This window comes from Homo sapiens, chromosome 10, assembly GCF_000001405.40.
Source record: "Homo sapiens chromosome 10, GRCh38.p14 Primary Assembly".
Taxonomy (NCBI): domain Eukaryota; kingdom Metazoa; phylum Chordata; class Mammalia; order Primates; family Hominidae; genus Homo; species Homo sapiens.
The window spans coordinates 123931727-123951076 of NC_000010.11; the positions used below are offsets into that span (position 1 = coordinate 123931727).

Sequence of the window (19350 nt, forward strand, 5' to 3'; positions counted from 1 at the left end):
GTAATTATTACATTTTTAGATTAGTATATTCATATCAGACTCTCAGTCCACCAATAAAATGGGAGAGTAAACCACTATATGTAAAAAGGTGTTTATCATAATATTGTTCAGAATAGCACTGCCTTTCTCAAACTATGTGCCATGCGAGGAATGTCAGGCAGTGACTGATGATGAAATTCACAAGAGTTTGACACACATGAGAACTATGGATGCTTTACTATGAAGTAAAAAGCAAAGTAAAAGAAGAAAGTCAGGTCTTAAGTCAGTATACAGAGTATAAGTCTGAGTGGTTTTTTTTAAACAGGGTGACAGTGTTGATTAAGTTAGGGAATATGTGAGTCTACGAAGGTACAGGTGAAACTGTACAAGAGGAAGGTGTCAGCTACATCTTCAAGCAAAGACTGGTGGCCACTTTGAAGCCAATCTTCTTTGTGAAGTGCAGACTTGGTGGTTGGTTATGTAATGCAGGGTCAGTAGGCATCCTTGCCAGGCACCATCTTCTGTGTGTATAGGGTGGTATTGGGCTGCTCTGGTGCCTGTCTCTAGAATCCTCTCAGCCTCACCTCTCATGCCAGCCTTTACTGCAGCAACTAGCTCTGTGCAGGCTTTGAGCTAACTGAAGAGCACCTCACTCCAGACTTGCAAATTAACACCCCATAGGACACTCTTGACCAGTGGGACCTGGAGCCAGCAGATGATATTTCCCACTTTGTTCCTTGGGTGGACAGTTCTAAGACACATTCCATAGATTTCCCAGAAAGTCTGCAAAGTCAGGCAGTCAACTGCCTTTTGCAGTGGCCAACTCAATAGTGCATCTCTGAATGACTCTCCATCCTTCTGTACGGACAGGCTCTCCCTGTCCCACTCTGCTCCTTGCAATCTCATTCTCAAACTCACTCAACAGCATCTACTTAAAGTCATTTCTCCCCATGGAATGCAGGGCTCTGTGTACAAGGTGAATCAATTTACATAAGGAACGCAAGAGCCTACTGCGGAAGGAGGGTTCAGACTCCAATGCCTGCACCCTGAGCTCCAAGTGCAGGAAGTGTGGGAGTTTCTCGGCGTGGCAGATAGCAAAATACAGCAAGGGCTCCAACAGGGAATGCAAAGGAGAGAAAGGGGAAGCAGGGCTTGTAGGCCAGTCTCAGTGCAAGGGCACAGGACTCACATGGGGGAGAGCTGGTTCTGTAAAGCATTGTAAGCCATAACAACTGGGTCTCCTGGAGCACAACTTCAAAAGGTAATGTGCCTGCTGTCCACTAGAGTTGGGCCCTGTAGCAGAGACAGGAAGATCTCAGGACCAATCCACCCTGGTACAGTGATTGTGCATTAGGGACAATAACTGACCAAGGAGGTGTCAAGTAAAGCTACCTTGAATGCGATTTTGGAAACCAAGCATGGGGCTCCACCATGGCCTGGGTAGGGAATGGACAGTGAGGCCATCGCAAGGAAGGGCAAGTAGGACTGGTCTCCAACCACAATGCCATGTTGCAGCAAGAGCCAGCATCATTCCTGCACTGACCACCAAACTTCCCAGCCCTGTCTTCCTAGCATTGATCTAGGACTAGTGGCATTTTGATTAAATAAGACCCAGCTGTTCTGATCCTTTGACGGCAGTGGGGATGCTCAAGATGGATGAGCTATTAGAGGAATCAAGAAGAAAACCAAAAAAATGATGTCACCATATTTGAACTTTAAGAATCAAAAACAGGCTGGGTGCAGTTGCTCACGCCTATAATCTCAGCACTTGGGAGGCCAAGGTGGGCGGGTCACTTGAGGTCAGGAGTTTGAGACCAGCCTTGCCAACATGGTGAAACCCCATCTCTACTAAAAATACAAAAATTAGCCAGGGGTGGTGGCATATGCCTGTAATCCCAGCTACTTGGGAGGCTGAGGCAGGAGATTCGCTTGAACCCGGGAGGCAGAGGTTGCAGTGAGCTGAGATCACGCCACTGCACTCCAGCCTGGGCAACAGAGCGAGACCATGTCTCTGAAAACAACAACAAAAACAAAACAAAACTAAAAAAAAAAAGGAAGTACACCTAAACCCAGGCTTCCCCACCCCGGGCAGGCCACAGGAGGCCATCATACCCTTCATAAGATGTAAGGAGCACAGGAGGAAGGGAGCTCATCTTCTTTTCTGAATCTCCCTCTTAAGAGAGAGGAAATATGTCTTCCCAAATACCTCTCCTTACCCAACTCCCCTCATCTCTTGTTGGTCAGATTGGGTTGTGTCTGCTCAGAAATGAGTCCCAGGCAGGTGTCATGGGATGGCATGACCAAACCTGATTACCTGGGAATTAGGGCTGCTCCTGGAGCCGGGGTAAGTCCTCTTCACTTTTGTAATGTTGGGGTCAAGGAAGAGGTAACAGCTGAACAGGTTTAAGGTGCTGTTAGGAAAGGGGGAAGGGGAAATGCTGGCAGATGCCCAAGAGGGTCTGCTGTACCCAATGACACCGAGCCCTGCATGCACTTCACGGGGCTGCCATAGCCCAGCACCACAAACTGGTGACTTACAATAACAGAAAGGTCTTCTCTCACAGTTCTGGAAGCCAGGAGTCTGAAATGGCGGTGTCAGCAGAACCACATGCCTCTGGAGACCATAGGTGGGGATCTGTCCCTGCCCCTCCCAGGCTCCGCTGGCTCCTGGTATCCCTTGCCTTTCCTTGGCTTGTGGGTGCATCTCGCCAATCCCTGCCTCTGTTTTCACCAGCCCTCTCCCTGTGTGTCTGTGTCTCGGTGTCCAAATTTCCCTCTTTATAGGAACACCCATCATACTGGATTTAGTGGTAAATTAATGCAGTTTGACCTCATCTTGATTCCACCAGAAAAGACCCTACATCTAAATAAAATCACATTCAGAGGCTCAAGTGGACATGAATTTGGTGGGGACCCTCTTCAACCCACTGTAAACCCCAAGAGAAGGAAGGCACTCTGCGAACCACGCACCAGGAACAAGCCTGATGGGGAAGCTCTGTGTTCACCCATGGGAGGCCCTTCATCCACATCCGCCCCACCCACGTAGAGGGTGTGCAGGGCCCTTTCTCCCCACCCATTTCCTCCAGCCATCTTTCTGCTTTTGCCATCCATCGCCTGCCACTGAGACCTGTGCCTCCCACTAGCTGTGTTGGATGAAGTTCGTTTCAAGTTCCCCTTGATACTGATGCCCAGCCTTCTCATTCTGTCAGGCCACAGTGAGGTGAACTCCTCATCATCTAAAATTACATGAAGCACCCAAGGCTGTCTTTGGGTACGACCTAGCCAGGAAGTTCTTAGTTGTTCTTCTCGGCCACATTCTTCTGCCTCCTCCCAGCTCCAGCGTTGATTAGCAAGTGACTTAACTTCCTGTCTTGGTCTCCTCTGCAGAGGGAAGGTGTGTGCATTGTAAGAGACAATCAGGGCAAAGGCCTGTCAGAGCCTGCTGCATGGAGCCCACTCAATCCTGTTAACCATGAGCTGTTAATGCTATTGTAGAGAGGAGTAAAAAAGCAGCCACAACTCACAAAAAGGGTGACAAGGCCTGGCTTAAACCCTCCTCTCTCAGGGAGAGCTGCACTTTCAATGAATAAAACCTTAAGCTGGTAGCATTTTCAATTGCGGCGGGGGTCAAGCAGAGGTGCCCACTTAGTGGCTGGGAAAAGGCAATTGGGGAACCCACCCTGGGTGGGGCCACAGAGACCACACAACACCCAACCATTCCAGCTTAGCATCTGTCTCATGAAACCATACCTTGGATGATGTGAAACTGCTAAAACAAACTTTGCCCTTGCCAGAATGGCCCAGAAACTGGGGACAGACCTCACAGGGAGAGGGCTCAACAGTTCTAACACCTCACCTTATGTTCTACCTGCTCCTCCCATAGTGGTTGGTAAGTGCCCCAGTGTGGTGCCTGACACTTAAAAGCTGGTGTAGTGGGTAGGAGCCCAGACATGAAAGATGGGAAGAAAAATAGCCCAGACAAGGATGCAGTCAGGGAGGGACTCTGAGTAAAGATCCAGCCAGAAATACAAGCATCATCACCATCATCATCACCATCACCATCATAACCAGCATCTTTACCATCATCATCACCACCACCACCAGCAGCATCTTCATCGCCATCATCACCAGCGTCTTGACCATCATCACCACCACCACCATCACCACCATCCTTACCATCATCACCACCACCAACACCAGCATCTTCACCATCATCACCACATTTACCATCATCATCACCATCATCACCAGCATCTTTACCATCATCACCATCATCACTACCACCACCATCACCAGCATCCTTACCATCATCACCACCACCAACACCAGCATCTTCACCATCATCACCATCACCATCATCACCACTATCTTTACCATCACCACCACCATCACCATCATCATCTATTGATATTAAACTTTTACTGGGGTTTAAGCACTGTGCTTTACAGCTATTATTTCATTTAATCCCCAAAGTAGCCCTGTAAGATCAGCACTATCATCCCCATTTTACAGATTAGGAAACTAAGGCTCAGAGACTGTAAACCTTCCAAAGCCACCAGGGAGTAAGAGTGGTCCAGAACTCCAGACCATCCTGTAAACCATTATGCCTTATTGTCTCCCCAAAATCAATCAGTAATAATAGAGGCAGATAAGTCAGGAGCTGAATGATTCCAGAAGATTCCAGAAGTGTCTGCAGCTCTTATCGGCTATATGTCAGTTTCCTACGGCATGGGTGGATTGGCTGGTGCAAAGCTCCTGTCTCTAGACAACAGCCACACAGAAGAGATATTACTCACATTTTGCATGCCTTCCAAGTAAAGCGAGGCTACTTTGAGGCCCATCTCAGCACCATGATGCATCCAAACCAAAGGAAAATGCAACTCCCAGAAGCCTTGCAAAGGAATGAAGGTCTTGACCGAATGTCTTTTCTCAAGGGGCAATGACATCATACAACTCTCAAGATTCCTTCACAATATTCTCTCTTTCCTCAAGTCTCACACCCTGCGGCACTTTCCTCTCCACTCTCCCTTTGTCTCTCACTTTCTCTCTCCCCATACTCCCACCTCCAGTCCTCGGGCCCCACTGCCCCTTCCAGGCTCTGGCCTGCACCCTCCTGCCTTCCTCATCTTCCTCTTCCTCTGTGGGTAGCAATGAGTTCCCTCCTCTTGACTTTTTTCTCCATCATTCAGGATGCTTCCTCTCTCTCACCAAAGGGGGAACCCAGCATTCAAGTCCTGCAACAAAGGCTCCTCCCTGGAAGGCCGGGGTAGGGGGTTCTTACATCCCCCATCTCAATCAAATGAGGAAACTGAGGCTCAGAGAGGCCAACGACAGCTAGAAGGTGGCAAAGTTGGGACTTTTACAAATTCTAAACACACAGCAATTCCCCTTCCCAGGGATCAGCCTTCCTGACCAAGTAAAGGGGAGTCCAGGTGACCCTAATTTTCCTCTGATGTAACTCAGGCTTGGTTAGGGGAGGTGCTAATGTGGAGAAAGGAGCTGGACTTGGGTTCCAGCCCTGACTCCACCCCTCCCCAGTTGTGGGGTCTCAGGAAAGTTACAATTCCCCTTGAAGCTTCGAGTTCCCTTCAGGATCAGGAGAGCTGAAGAAGACAGCATTGACCCGGCAGCTCAGGGGGCTTCCCTCAGCGATGCTGAAAAATCTGCCTGACACTCTGCAACCTCAGGACCCCCCACCCCAAATGTCCATCAGCCAACAGGCATCCCCAGCTTTCAGTCTGTTAGAAAAACAAGACAACAAAACAACACACACACACACACACACACACACACACACACACACACACACACACACTAGAATTCTGGAGTTATGGAGAGAAGCTGTTTCCACTGGAATTTTATCTCTTTGTTCACTTCCAGGGACCAAAGACCCTTTCTTAAGCAAGAATGCCTTTTTTCAACAAAGTCTCTTGACAGTTCCTTGAAGCTCAAATTCACAATGAGCTTTCTCTTCTGAGCATCCTGACTGCTTGTCTGAGAAGGGAAACAAGATTTTTGAAAGAAAAAAGCCCCAGGCAACTTTTATTTTTCTTTCAGGGCCCTGTTTTGAACATGGAGGTTTTGATCTTTCTAAAATCAAAGCCTTTAGAGAAGATGAGGGAAGGTTCAACCCCAACCCAAGGCAGGAGTGAAATGCCAATGTCCCCTGCACCCACAGTGACCAACTGTGGAAGTGCAAGAAACCCCAGTGTCTATTTCTGGTGCTAGAGCCTTGTGGGAAGCGTGGAAGCAGCTCTGTCTTCCTTCTGAATAGAATTAAGATTCCTTTGTTCCTAACTCAGAGGCATAAATACAGGTACACCACCAAGAAAATGAGTTTCTAGAAAAAGCCAGTTCTTACAAGAGATTTCTCTCCCTCTTTCTGACTCTCTCTTTATGTATCTCCCACTCTCCCTCCCTTTCTCTCAGTGGTCAATGTTTCTAACACTTTTGTGTGCACACAATCACTAGGAGGTCTTTTTAAAACGTATGTTCTGATTCAGCAGGCCTGAGGAGGGGCCTGAGATCCTGACAATTCTGACAAGCTCCTGGATGATACTGAAGCTGCAATCTGGGATCACACTGAGTAGCAAGCACTCAGACAATGAAAGACAGTTCCTTATATCATGAAGCCAGTGGTCTGGAGGTAGATAGGTGCAGTGCGGTCTGCAGCTCAACCATGTCAAGGGGTTTGGCCAGTGCCTGCAAATCTCCTGATCATGAGATGGCTTCAAAGAGCATGTCTGTTCCCTAAGAGAGGAGGAGAGTAGCTCTTTCCCCTTGTCTCTTTCTTTTTACTAGGAAGGGAACAATTTTCCCAATAGTCTCCCAGGAGATGTCTTCATAGCTCATTGGCCTGCACTCTGTCATGTGACCTCCTGGAGCTGCAAGGGAGCCTGGGACACTGTGCACCTGGCCAAGGGGAACAGGGTCACTGTGACAGATGCCGTTAGCAAGCAAGAATGGTGAATGCCCGCTGGCTGCCCGGCTGGCCAGCGTCTACCGCAGCCATCTTGCAGATACTCAGGGCCACCCGTATACGCTCTGGTCTATGGTGAGCCAGTAGAAAGAGAGAGGGGTCATGCCAGGCTTTCAATGTAGAGTCGGTGATGGCAGTGGGAGGCAACACTTATCTGGAAATGCAGGTGGGACCCAGCCCAGGTGACTTTCACTGGGGGACATAGGTGACCCAGGGACACAGGTGGATCACAGCCCAGGTACTTCCATAGCCCACCCAGAGCTCCCACCCTGCCAAGCCCTCTGATCAGACAAACTAGAGCCGATACAAATGACACAGCCAGACTCACCCCTCTCCCTCCTCTGGAGGAGCAGACACATTATGTTCCTGGTATCCTGGATACCATGTCAGGGACATAAAGCCACGAGAAGTGTATCTGCAGAGCCAACTGTGAGCAGTGCCAATTAAACTTGTCCCTCAGACCCACAGAGCCGTAGTATTGGGAACCAAGGTATCATCTTTTCCAGAAGCAGTACTGCCCCTTGGTAGCAGGGTTACCATGGCAATGTTTTCTACCTGGGCCTGCTTCGGGTAAGGCTGGAAATAGGACTCACATATTTAAAGTAAACTAGAAAAGCGGCACCAAGCGGGGCCCAGCAGGTGGAAGGCAGGCAGGTTCAGGAAGTCCCCTCTTGCCATCCTGGTGGGTTTTGGCTTCTCGGTCATGCTGGTGGCTCTAAGCGAGGGGATGTGGAAAGAGGCCAGCTCTGGAGTTAGATGGGGCTGGATTCCCATCCTGTCTCTGTTACTGACCTGCTGCGTGGCCTTGGGCAAGTTGTTGAACTGCCTCAGCCTCAGTTTCTTCATCCTTAAAATAGGAGGAGAGAAAGGCACACGCCCTAATATACAGGGTCATTGGGATGATTGTAATGTCATGAGACTCTGCGTCTAAAGGGCTCAGCGGGGTGTCTGGTGCAGAAGTCAGTAGAGCACCAGCCCTGGGGATGGCATGGGGAGGCCGGGCCTAAGGAGAGGCTGTCTGGATGTGACTTTATCAGGCCAGACAGGTAGACGCATGCTAAGTGGGAGCACAGAGGCCCAAGGCATCAGTCTGCCATGAGAATCCCTGTCCCAGAGCCTGGGCGCACCCCAGATGTGCCTGATCAGGGCTCTCTGACAGCCAGGCCCAAGTGCAGGAACCCCATGGCTGGCTCTCCAGGAGAAGGCCCACGAGACCACATTGCTGAAGAGCTAGCACGTACTTCCTGTCCACACAGGCAGAGCTGGGTAGGGGCATCTGCAGGACTTGAAGTCATGGAATTAGAGCAAGGAGACTTAGAAGAAGAGAATACCTAACGGCCCCACCCCACCATCGACATCCCTCAGTCCCAGAACCACAGTCATCGACACATCCTGGCTGTAAAGCTCCCTGAGCTCGAAGCAGCAGGACCACAACCCCTCCCCTGCTGCCTGCACCCAGCTCACCCTGGGAGGCCTCAGTCCTGCCATCAGGGCAGGGAGGAGGCAAGGTCTGCAGCCTGATGCTTCTTCTTCCCTGAAAGCTGCTGCCTGCATTCACCTCCATGCCTCTTCTTTACCTACCCATGGGTGATGAGCCCTTGCTGTGATGTACACAGGACATCTGTGTCATTGTGATGATGTACATGGGACATCTGTGTCCTTGTCATTTGCACAGGACATCTCTGTCATTGTGATGATGGGCACAGGACTCTGTGTCCTTGTGATGATGTGCACGGGACATCTGTGCCCTTGTCCCAGATCCACCCCAGAACCCACCTGGCAAGGGAGCGCCCAAGCCTGGGAATCACTCATCACTACCCAACAACTTTGCCCATCTCTGATCTACACTCTGTGTGTGGGCCTTGGCTCCGGCTCTCAGTGAGCAGGCTTATTTCCCTCATTTCCAAGTTCTTGGGGGACGCCTCAACACCCACCTAACAAGCATCCATAGATGGCAACAGCCTTTCTCTTTCGACTTCCAGCATTTTAAACCAACGCTGAGTTGTTGGAGTGGGTGGAAAACAGCACTTGCCTTTCTGGGACCATGGATTAGCTCAAGATTCCCACACCGGTGGGGCCCTCAAAGCCACAGGACAAGCCTGGTGCTTCTTCCTGGAGCATCTGTGTCTCCATGGTGAGGGTACTCATTGCCTAGTGCTGCCGTCCAAAAGTGCCACAAACAGGTGGCTTAAAACAATGGAAATGGGCCGGACACGGTGGCTCACGCCTGTAATCCCAGCACTTTGGGAGGCTGAGGTGGGCGGATCACGAGGTCAGGAGATCGAGACCATCCTGGCTAACACAGTGAAAGCCCGTCTCTACTAAAAATACAAAAGATTAGCAGGGCGTGCTGGTGGGTGCCTGTAGTCCCAGCTACTCGGGAGGCTGAGGCAGGAGAATGGCATGAACCTGGGAGGCGGAGCTTGCAGTGAGCCGAGATCGCGCCACTGCACTCCAGCCTGGGTGACAGAGCGAGACTTCATCTCAAAACAAAAAAATAAATAAATTAAAAATAAAATAAAATGGAAATGTATTGTCTCATAGTTCTGGGGCCTAGGAATCTAAGATCAAGGTGTGGCTAGGGCCGTGTTCCCTTTGAAGGCCCTAGGGAAGCATCCTTCTTTGCTTCTTCCTAGCCTCTGCTGGTTGCCAGCTTCCCTGGTGTTTCTCGGCTTACAGCTGCAGCAGGTCAATCTCTGCCTCTGTTGTCACGTGGCCTCCGCCTCCTGTGTCTGTCTCTGTATCTTCTCTTATTATAAGGACACCATCATATTGGATTAAAAGCCCCCCACCACCACTCCTGTATGACTTTGTCTAAATTTAACTAATTACATCTGTTGTAACCTTATTTCATAAAAGGTCACATTCAGAGGTCCTAGAGGTTAGGATCGCAACATACATTTTTGGAGGACACAATCTGACCCATAACAGTGAATAATGTTAAAACATTGTTTTTATGTTTAACCAGTGTGGATATTCACGAGGTAGAACGTAAGACCCTCCCACCTGCAGCGGACGGCTGCCCTGTGGACCCCAGAGGACTTTCCCCCTCCTCTGCCTTTGGGGGTGCTTTGAAGAAGAGCTCAAAAGCTAGAGTATGAGGCCAGAAGAACTGGTTCTCTCGTTCACCTTGAGCAGGCCACCTACCTTCTCTGAACCGCATCTGAGATGCGGATGAAGCAGTGGAAACAGGCAAACCCAGAATCTGTAGGCACAATGGCTTGCACATGCAAGTGTGCTTAGATCCCTATGGGCATGCCAGGAGAAATTGTGAAAGAGCTTAAAATAGGTTAAAAAGATTGCTGGGTGTCCTATCTATGCACCCCTCCAGGGTTATCTGAATCTCTAAGGGCCTGCACCTTTCATTGTCTTTGAGGAATTGGACAATTTTGTAAGTTGCAGAAAACTTAGAGTAATGCAAATGGCTCTAGTCCACAGAAGTGCAGATGGATTTTGTCTGGTAGAATGCAACTGCTATTGCTCTGTGGGTTTCGACCAGCTTTGGATCTATAGTCATGCACGGCATAAAAACATTTCAGTCAAGGATGTGTCAGAGGCATCTGAACCACAGTGACTCCATCTTGAACAGGGACTGGGTAAACCGAGGGTAAAATGACCTGCTGGGCTGCATTCCCAGGAGGTTAGGCATTCTTAACCTACGATGTCACAGGATGAGATAGGAGGTCAGCACAAGATACAGGTCACAAAGACCCCGCTAATGAAAACAGGATGTGGTAAAGAAGCCAACGAAAATCAAGATAGCAACAGAAATGACCTCTGGTCATCCTCACTGCTCATTATATGCTAATTATAATGCATTCGCATGCTAAAAGACACTCCCACCAGCACCACGACAGTTTACAAATGCCATTGCCACATCTGGAAGTTACCCTAGATTACCTAAAAGTGGGAGGAACCCTCAGTTCCAGAAAATCCCCACCGCTTTCCAAGAAAACTTGTGAATAATCCACCCCTTGTTTAACATATGATCAAGAAATAATTGTAAAAATAGCCAGCCAGCAGCCCTCAGGAGGGCTCTCACTATGGAGTAGCCATCTTTTTGTTTCCTTACTTCTCTATAAAGTTGCTTTCACTTTACCCTACGGACTAGTCCCAAATTTTCTTGTGTGAGATCCAAGAACCCTCTCTTGGGGTCTGGATGGGAACCCCTGACGGACCACATATATGATGATGGTCCCATAAGATTATAATACCATATTTTTACCTTACCCTTTCTATATTTAGATATGTTTAGTTACACAAATACTTACTATTGTGTCACAATTGCCTGCACTGTTCAGTACAGTCACATGTTGTACAGCTGTGTAACCTAGGAGCAATCGACTCTACCATATGGCCATACCAGTAGACTATACCATCCAGGTTTTAGTAAGCGAACTCTGATGTTCACACTATGACAAAATTGCCTAACAATGCATTTCTCAAAACATATCCCATAGTTAAGCAACGTATGACTGTATTTCTAAATTCATGTGTGTTCTTTGAATGTTCCTTTGAACTGGTCGTACCATACTATTGCTTTCCTCACTAAATAGTAAGTTAAGTAAACTTGATGTGTTCATTGTATATTTTATGACAATCATGACTGTGCCTTTTAAAAATTATCCTTTTAACAAGGACAACAGGGCAAAGCATTTGGATGTACAAGTTTGTGGGAAGTTGCAAAATGTATGGACACAAACATCAACAGCAACAGCAACAATAAAATCAGAATTCAATGCCTCAGGGGAGCCTCTGGTGCCTCAAACAAAACCCAGAAGGGATTTGCCAGCCGTGCAGGGTTTGGGTGAGCAGCACGAGGTAGATCCTCCAGGGACCAGCAGGCTGCAGAGAGGCCAAAAGTCCCCTTGGGCCCCACAGGGAGTTGCATTTCAGCCCCTGAAGTGCAGAGCAATGAGGTTAGGTCTGAAAAATAACAAACGAGGTCCTAAAAGCATCACTGCTACCTGTAGAGCTGAGCCAGGTATGTGCCAACTGGCTGGAGCCTGTTGCTGAGATGTTGCTGACAGCCTGGTAGGCAGAAGCTCAGGGCCCAGGCTACGGTGGGGCTGTCTGGCGCAATGAAGCCACCTGCAAAGACAAACACAGTCCGTCTTGGGCCTAGAGGGACACCACTGTCCTGGTCCTCTTCCCAGATGGAGCAGACAACCCCTGCTGCCCCATGGAATAGAAGGGGGATCTGTGTAGTGGGTAGCTCTGAGAAGGTATTTGTATCTCCAGAGCTGAGGCTAAACAGGTCCTTTGTGGCATCCTAATTAAAGAGACCATCGTCATCGTGGTCACCTGCTTCTGCTTCCAGCCAGGATCATCCTGCAAAGCTCCACAGCTTGGGATAGGATGTCCTACAAGGTTAAAGTGTCCATGATGTTTGCAAAGGCCCCGGGCTGGGGTGTGAGGCTGAGCTGGGTTTGAGTCCCAACTCTCCCTTTTGCCTGCTGTGTGACCTCACAAGGGGTGTTTAACTCACCTGATGAGCTGTGGGATTACCTGAGAATATAGGAAACGTGGAAAAAGCATCTGATATAGAGCAGATTCATCCTAAATATCAGTACCCCCATTCCTTCTTGTAGAGCAGGAAACAGGTCTTCTGTAGGCTCTACAAAGCACCAGATAAGATTTGGCCAATCTCTACAAGTCAAAAGTTCTACTTCCGGCTCAACACAAATTCACTTCTTCTCTGTGGGTCTTTAAAACAAAGGGTTCTGAACCTGGTATGAAATTCTAGCATTCAATCTTGCCATTTTCAGAACCTGGGAAAACTGACTTGCTTTTCTAAGAAATGCCTGCAAAGTTCCAGCAGAACGCTGGTCCCACTCTCTTTCCCTCTTGACTCTCCCTAGACAGATGCGTTACCATTGAGATGAGAATTTCTGGACGGTGCAAAGCAAATCTGAGGGTGGCTCCTCAGAGTTCTGTGTGGAATTTTCTATAACCTCCACTGCCCTCTGGACAACAGACAGCATCCCAACCACACTGCCAGCATTCTGCTTCCAAACAGGAGAAGCAACAGCACCTCTTCCCTTCATAAAGATGGCTGGCTCTTCTCAGGCATCCTAAAGCCGGAGTGTGGGCTCCACAGGGCGGGTGCTGGGCCTCAGCTGTCCAGAGAAGTCAGCCTCAGGTCAACGTGGGCTGCTTGGCCTGTTATTCCAAATGATGGAATTCTCTGGCCTTGAAAGCTCATCTCCTCCTTTCCACCAAATGATTAAAATGCTAAGTGAAAAACATTGCTGAGACTCAAAGGGAGCCGGGGCACAGCGTGTCCTTAAATAACTCCTCAGGCCGCAAGTCTAATCACTCTTTGTCCTGAACTTCTGGTAGCAGCATCAACTTCTCAAAGGGCCCAGGAGTGCAGTTTTTTTTTCCCCTACAAAGACCATACTTTTTCTGGGGGTCATTTCCCCCTTTGACAACTATTCCAAGAATGCAAAAAGAAGGAATATTTTCTTCCTAAAAATTATACTTCCAGACTTTGAGCTGTGACGATGCTCATGAAGAGTCAATAATATGCTGCTGCCGTGGAAATCACAAGCACAAAGGAGATGTCTTTAGCCAGCCCCAGAGGGTCCCTCTCAAGGGCTGTTCCAGGTGCATTTTAAATCATGCCAGCAATTGTAACCCACGCACCAGCAGGGTCTCCCTGCCTCCAAGGACCTGGCTAAGCTCTACATTGACCCTTCTTCTGTGGTCTCAACAAGCCCACGGTTACATTCATGTCCTCAAGGCTACCTCTGACCTTCAATTTAGCGTTTATTCTCCCGCCTACCTTCTCACACACACACGCCCTGCTGCCCATCCAGCCAAGTCAGACCTGGACTATGCAGTTTCTGCAAACACACACACACACACACACACACACACCACTCATGCGTGTCATTTGTGTATTTATAGCTTTTTATGGAGTAATTGGAGACAGGGAGGAATTGTCAGGATATACCACTGTCTGTTCACAAAAGCCTTACTTCCTTTGGGTACAGAGACTACATTTCCCAGCTTCCCTTGCAATTAGGTTTGGCCACGTGACTTGCATTCTAGCTAATGGAAGCAGGGCAGAAGTGAAGTGTCATGGTCTGTTCATATAATGGAATACACTTCAACAATAAATAGAAACAAACTACTGTCTCTCTCTCTGAGTGAACCTTAAAAACATGAGGCTGAGTGAAAGAAACAAGACACACGAGACCACAGATTGTATGACTCACTTTCAATGAAATGTCCAGAAGAGGAAAATCCACAGAGACAGAAGGTAAAGTAGCAGTTCCCTGGGGATAGGAACAGAGATGACAGGAAATGGGCATGAGGGATCTTACTGGGGATGAAAGTGCTCTAAAACTGTTTTATGGTGATGGTTACAACACTTGGTAAAGTTACCGAAATCAGTGAACTGATATCTGAAATGGATAAACTTCATGATACGTAAAATGTACCTCAATAAAGTTGTTTTAAAAAAAGGAGTGAGAGAGCTATTCCCAGCCCCAATCTGGAGAAACCTTTGGCATGTTCTCTAGGCCCTTTCCTTCATGTTAACCAGACCATGATGGAGACCAGGAGGAGGGACCCTGGGTCCCAAGGGACTACATGGAGGTGAGTCAACCCCAGGCCTGTCCTGCAAGCACGAGGTGCGCGGCCTCGTGTTGAGCCAGTACTCGTTTGAATTTGGTTTTTTTTTTTTTTTTTTTTTTTTTTTTTTGAGACGGAGTCTCGCTATGTCGCCCAGGCCGGACTGCGGACTGCAGTGGCGCAATCTCGGCTGACTGCAAGCTCCGCTTCCCGGGTTCACGCCATTCTCCTGCCTCAGCCTCCCGAGTAGCTGGGACTACAGGCGCCCGCCACTGCGCCCGGCTAATTTTTTGTATTTTTAGTAGAGACGGGGTTTCACCTTGTTAGCCAGGATGGTCTCGATCTCCTGACCTCATGATCCACCCGCCTCGGCCTCCCAAAGTGCTGGGATTACAGGCGTGAGCCACCGCGCCCGGCCTGAATTTTGTTGTTAAAGCAGCTAGCTTCCACCTCCCAGGTGGCTCCCTGGCAACCACACATATTTCAGTGTGAATGGCATTGTGGTTCTTTGGCCACACCAGCCTTGGAATTGTCTTTCTTGGCTACCAGCTTTTTCATCTTCCCCACCTCTCACTGGGTCTTCTCTTCCTCTCCACTCTTTCTCCCTCTGCCACATCCCTGCCTCTTGAATTGTGCCCAGGGATTCCAGATCCTTCTCTCTTATGCAAAGCATAGCTGTCAATAGATGACCAAGTATAAGGGCTTGTTTTCAGAGTAGTCTTGGGAGAGAGGGAAGAGGGGAGGTATTTGCCTTTGTGAGGGGTTGAGGGTGGGGGCTGAGCTTAGAACTGGGAGACTAAGCTTAGGTGGGAAGCTTACGGGACCAGGCTCTAGCAGATTCTGCTGTGGGTGCTTGGGCAGTGCTGAGACCATTTAGCCCCCTGCAACAACTGGGGAAGGGAGGAGGGCAGGCAGACGTGGACCTGGGCACGCCAGGGACACAGACCTTTCGCCATCTCCAGCACTCAGGTTTTTCTGCTTCTCCAGAACTGAATTGGCACGTGGGTGGTCAGAGTCAAGAACATCTCTTTGAGTCGTAACAGAGAAAAGGTATTGAGTATTAGCAGGGGAGAGTTACTGAAACAAAGAAATGCCTTAAAGTATTCATATTCTCAGTGACAAGCAACATAATTCAGCAGGCATCATTGAAACTGTCGGGGAGAAAACTCCTGGCAAGTTTCTATGGCATAAGCATCAACAATGGCAGCTGATTTTACAAGTCCCGTTGTTACTCACCGAAGATGTTTACAGTGGATTGGACATTTTCTTCATTCCTTGTGCTGTCACTCTCAAGCTCCTACAGAAGCCACTGCGGGCCCCACACAGCATGCGCCCCTCCATTCTCCCCAGCACTGCCTGAAAGCAGCCCTGACAAGCCTCACCTGCATTCACAAGGCTTCCTCCCAACTGCTTTCCTGCCTCCGCCTTTTCTTCCTCTAACACATGCTCCACAGCCACTGTGATCTTTTAAACTCACATTTATAGCCATGTCAATCTTCTGCTTCAAACCCTCTGAAGGCTGCCCATTCCCCTCAAGATAAAGCTCATCTCCCTTAGTGGGGCAGGGTCACCCTGCTCAGTTATTTGAGTTGTGCACTGCACAAGTGTAGGGGTGCTCTGAGACACATCTGTACTCCACGCCCATGAAAGTAACACAGAGAGAGACCTTCGAGGCCTTCAGGTCCCCAAATCTCTCTGGCCTAACGTGTCACCGTCTTTGACAGACGCTTTCTATCCAGCCACTTAGAATTCCCAGTCCATGCGGCTCGGTCCCTTCTGCTTGGAACTCCTCCCCACTCCCTTCTTCCTCCAGGTGTTTCCCATTCACCCTTCTTCCTCCAGGTGTTTCCCATTCATCCTTCACAGCTCAGTTCAGCATCACGTCCTCCAGGAGGCTGCCCCATCCCCTTGCCAATTCTCTCTGCTCCTCCTACACCCACCAGGTGGCTGTGGTTTCTCTAATACCCACATCAAAGCACAGGTCACTCTGTGCTCTGCCTACACCATGAGTTCCCGGAGGATGACTACGTCTCGGGAGATGGGAGGTGAGATTTGGACTGTCCCTCATAGAGCAGGTGGGCCCAGAAGCAGAGGCACAGATGGCTACCCCTCAGCCAGAGGAAGGCCATGAGGGAAAAGCTGCAGGAAGCCAGAGGGAAACTGAGGCCAGGATCAGGGCTCTGAGGCTGATAAACCTATCAACCAGGGTCACCATGGGAAAACTGAAGCAAAGATGGCAGGTAGTTGCTGAAAATATTCACTGACCCCTTCCCCAACCCGTCTCCGTCCCTTCCCCCCACCACACTGCTCATCTCCAGCCAGGCCTTTTCTGGGCCACAGCCACCAACTCCTACTCACCCCAGGGCCAACAAGACACGTGCTAACTCAGCCTGGCACAAATGCCCTGGGAAGGGCCTGGGTGGCAAAGGGTTAAGATGGGCAGGCTCAATGCAAATGGCACCACTGGCCTGTGGGAATGGTGCAGGCCTAGGGTTTGATCCAGCTCATCATTATAATATACGATGTTAATGGGGCTCAAAGAACTAAGGTGAAGGGTGCCCTTTAATCCCCTTGAGGTAAGATGCAGATCCCCAGCTTGGCTGGAGACACAATATTCTCTCCTAGACCATCGGGAGCTTGACCCATGGGCACTGGCAATGAACCTCTCAGAATCCTTGTTTACCTACAAGAGATAATAAAACCGCATAATCACGGAAATGAATACGCATAGTCACAGAGATCAACCAAGAGTGACTGAATCTTCCATTCTGCTGGAATGATTAAAATTCTCCAGATGGGTCTTTGCTGTAAGAGGTCAGATAATTGGATTCTCTCTAAAGGGAGAGCTCTTTCCTTCTGCATCCACAGAGCAAATACCTATTTGAGAGTTCAGGCCCGGGAGGCCCTGTGGGGTGGGCAATGACAACTTCGGAGCACGCAGGGGTGCGGGTCCGGGGATGGACACAGGAAGAACAGGCCAGGGCAGTGACATGACCTCACATCAAGGAAGCCAGGCTCTTGTTTGGTTTTGTTTTTAAATAAAACTGCTATGTTAAAAGCTTTTTGTTCTATACTGAGTTTCTAAATCTTGGGCTTCTTTTTTCTTTAAATGACAAACAGATCATGATGAAGGCATTTTGTTATGTATGTTAAATGCAGACATTTCCAGAGAAAACAAATAAAAGGCAGACATAACACAGGCTTATGCGTCTGTGCTCAGATGCTTGTGCATTCGCTCAGTTACTTAAATGAAGTCAGTTTCTATCGTCTTGTATTACGCAGAAAGGGGAGTATTTTCGAAGCCCTTTCTCAATTAAAGGGGAATGGATCTGTCCGATCTTTTCTCCAACATGGTTTTACAACAGGGTCCTTTCCTCCCTGCCCCACTCCTTCTGTAGGAGTTGACTGCTTCTTCCCTCTTGGTATTTAATTACTCACCAATTGGAGGAAAAAAAGATTTGATATTTAAGTATGTCACAAAAAACCAGGCAAATATACTGCTGCAAGGGTTGTGGAATTAGAAATACCCAGGTCTAAGAGTCTCTGCCACTTACTACTGGGCAGGTGACTTCATCTTCTAGCCTCAATTTTGTCATCTATAAAATGGAGGAAACGGCTGGGCACAGTGGCTCACGCCTGTAATCCCAGCACTTTGGGAGACCAAGGCGAGCAGATCACCTGAGGTCTGAATTTCAAGACCAGCCTGGCCAACATGGTGAAACCCAATCTCTACTAAAAATACAAAAAAATTAGCCAGGCGTGGTGGAGGGCGCCTGTAGTCCCAGCTACTTGGGAGGCTGAGGCAGGAGAATGGTGTGAACCCGGGAGGCAGAGCTTGCAGTGAGCCGAGATCAAGCCACTGCACTCAAGCCTGGGCGACAAGGCAAGACTCCGTCTCAAAAAAAAAAAAAAAAAAACATTAGTCGGGTGAGCCTGTAATCCCAGCTACTCAGGAGGCTAAGGCAGGAGAATCGCTTGAACCCAGGAGGCGGAGGTTGCAGTGAGCCGAGATGGTGCTACTGCACTCCAGCCTGGGCGACAGAGCAAGACTCCGTCTCAAAATGAAATAAAATGGAAGAAAGAATGTGAGAATTAAGTGAAATAAGGCCTGCACAGGAATTTGAAGAGTGTCTGAATAAGCTTACATTATGATGTTTTATGAATTCTGTCTACTAAATGATCACTTATCCCAGAGGACTCAGTTCCTCAGGCTGGAAGGGATCTTGGGATAGTCTATTTACAGAAGAAACTGATCTTGGGAGGGGCAGGATGGCTCACTAGAGCCAGACAGCAGGGAGGTGGCAGCTAATTCTTACTGAGCACCTACATTTGGCATTCTGCCTCCACCTAGGTCCCCCACACAGCCTGTGTCCCCAGAGACACAAGCCTGCTCACAAGGGCTGCTCAGTGCACAAATGAACGGATGACTGGATGGCGGCCCTCCAGTCTCTCCCTACCCACATGCCCACCCCCAATTTCTCTCCGCTCAAGCCTCAGCTTGAGGGGTTGAGGTTGGAGAAAAGGAGGGCAGCTCTAAGGGCTGTGGCTTGGGGACAGTCTGAGCCCCAAACCCACACCTGGCCCTGGACAAGGAGAGGGCCCACTGAAGTGGAAACTGGGGGGAAGGAAGGGAAGAAGGTCCAACAATCTCCCCACAGAGGGGCTTTGGGTGATCACCTCCTCTGGTTGCCCCCCAGGATTCTGTGTGAGCCACCTGGGCTCTGAGGGGAGCCCAGACACCCCTTCCTCCAGTGCAGGCCTAAGTAGGGGCACCAAGACTCCTCTGCTGCATGGGCTAAGACCCCTGACAG

General features: G+C 49.1%; 1 protein-coding gene across 1 annotated transcript in view, besides 3 other annotated features; it reads right to left on the reverse strand.

Annotated features, from left to right (window-relative positions):
• The window catches only part of CPXM2 (carboxypeptidase X, M14 family member 2), a 198466-nt gene extending 186088 nt beyond the window's left edge, over positions 1-12378 (reverse strand). Inside the window, exons 1-2 of the mRNA XM_017015673.2 lie at positions 12263-12378; positions 11926-12049 (exon numbers count right to left, since the gene is read on the reverse strand). The gene's annotated coding sequence lies outside the window, so the exon portion shown is untranslated. The remainder of the gene's footprint in view (positions 1-11925; positions 12050-12262) is intronic.
• Positions 7149-7318: an enhancer, noted in NCBI's record as "experimental_10738 CRE fragment used in MPRA reporter constructs". NCBI's record gives its function as "activates a minimal promoter by MPRAs in K562 erythroleukemia cells, with activity observed for the non-introgressed 10:125698476 variant allele {active_cell/tissue: K562}" and the evidence as "EXISTENCE:reporter gene assay evidence [ECO:0000049][PMID:34662402]".
• Positions 16703-17383: an enhancer, noted in NCBI's record as "H3K4me1 hESC enhancer chr10:125707945-125708625 (GRCh37/hg19 assembly coordinates)". NCBI's record gives its function as "activates a minimal SCP1, AML or CMV promoter by ChIP-STARR-seq in naive H9 embryonic stem cells {active_cell/tissue: H9 hESC(naive)}" and the evidence as "EXISTENCE:reporter gene assay evidence [ECO:0000049][PMID:30033119]".
• Positions 18824-19324: an enhancer, noted in NCBI's record as "H3K4me1 hESC enhancer chr10:125710066-125710566 (GRCh37/hg19 assembly coordinates)". NCBI's record gives its function as "activates a minimal SCP1, AML or CMV promoter by ChIP-STARR-seq in naive H9 embryonic stem cells {active_cell/tissue: H9 hESC(naive)}" and the evidence as "EXISTENCE:reporter gene assay evidence [ECO:0000049][PMID:30033119]".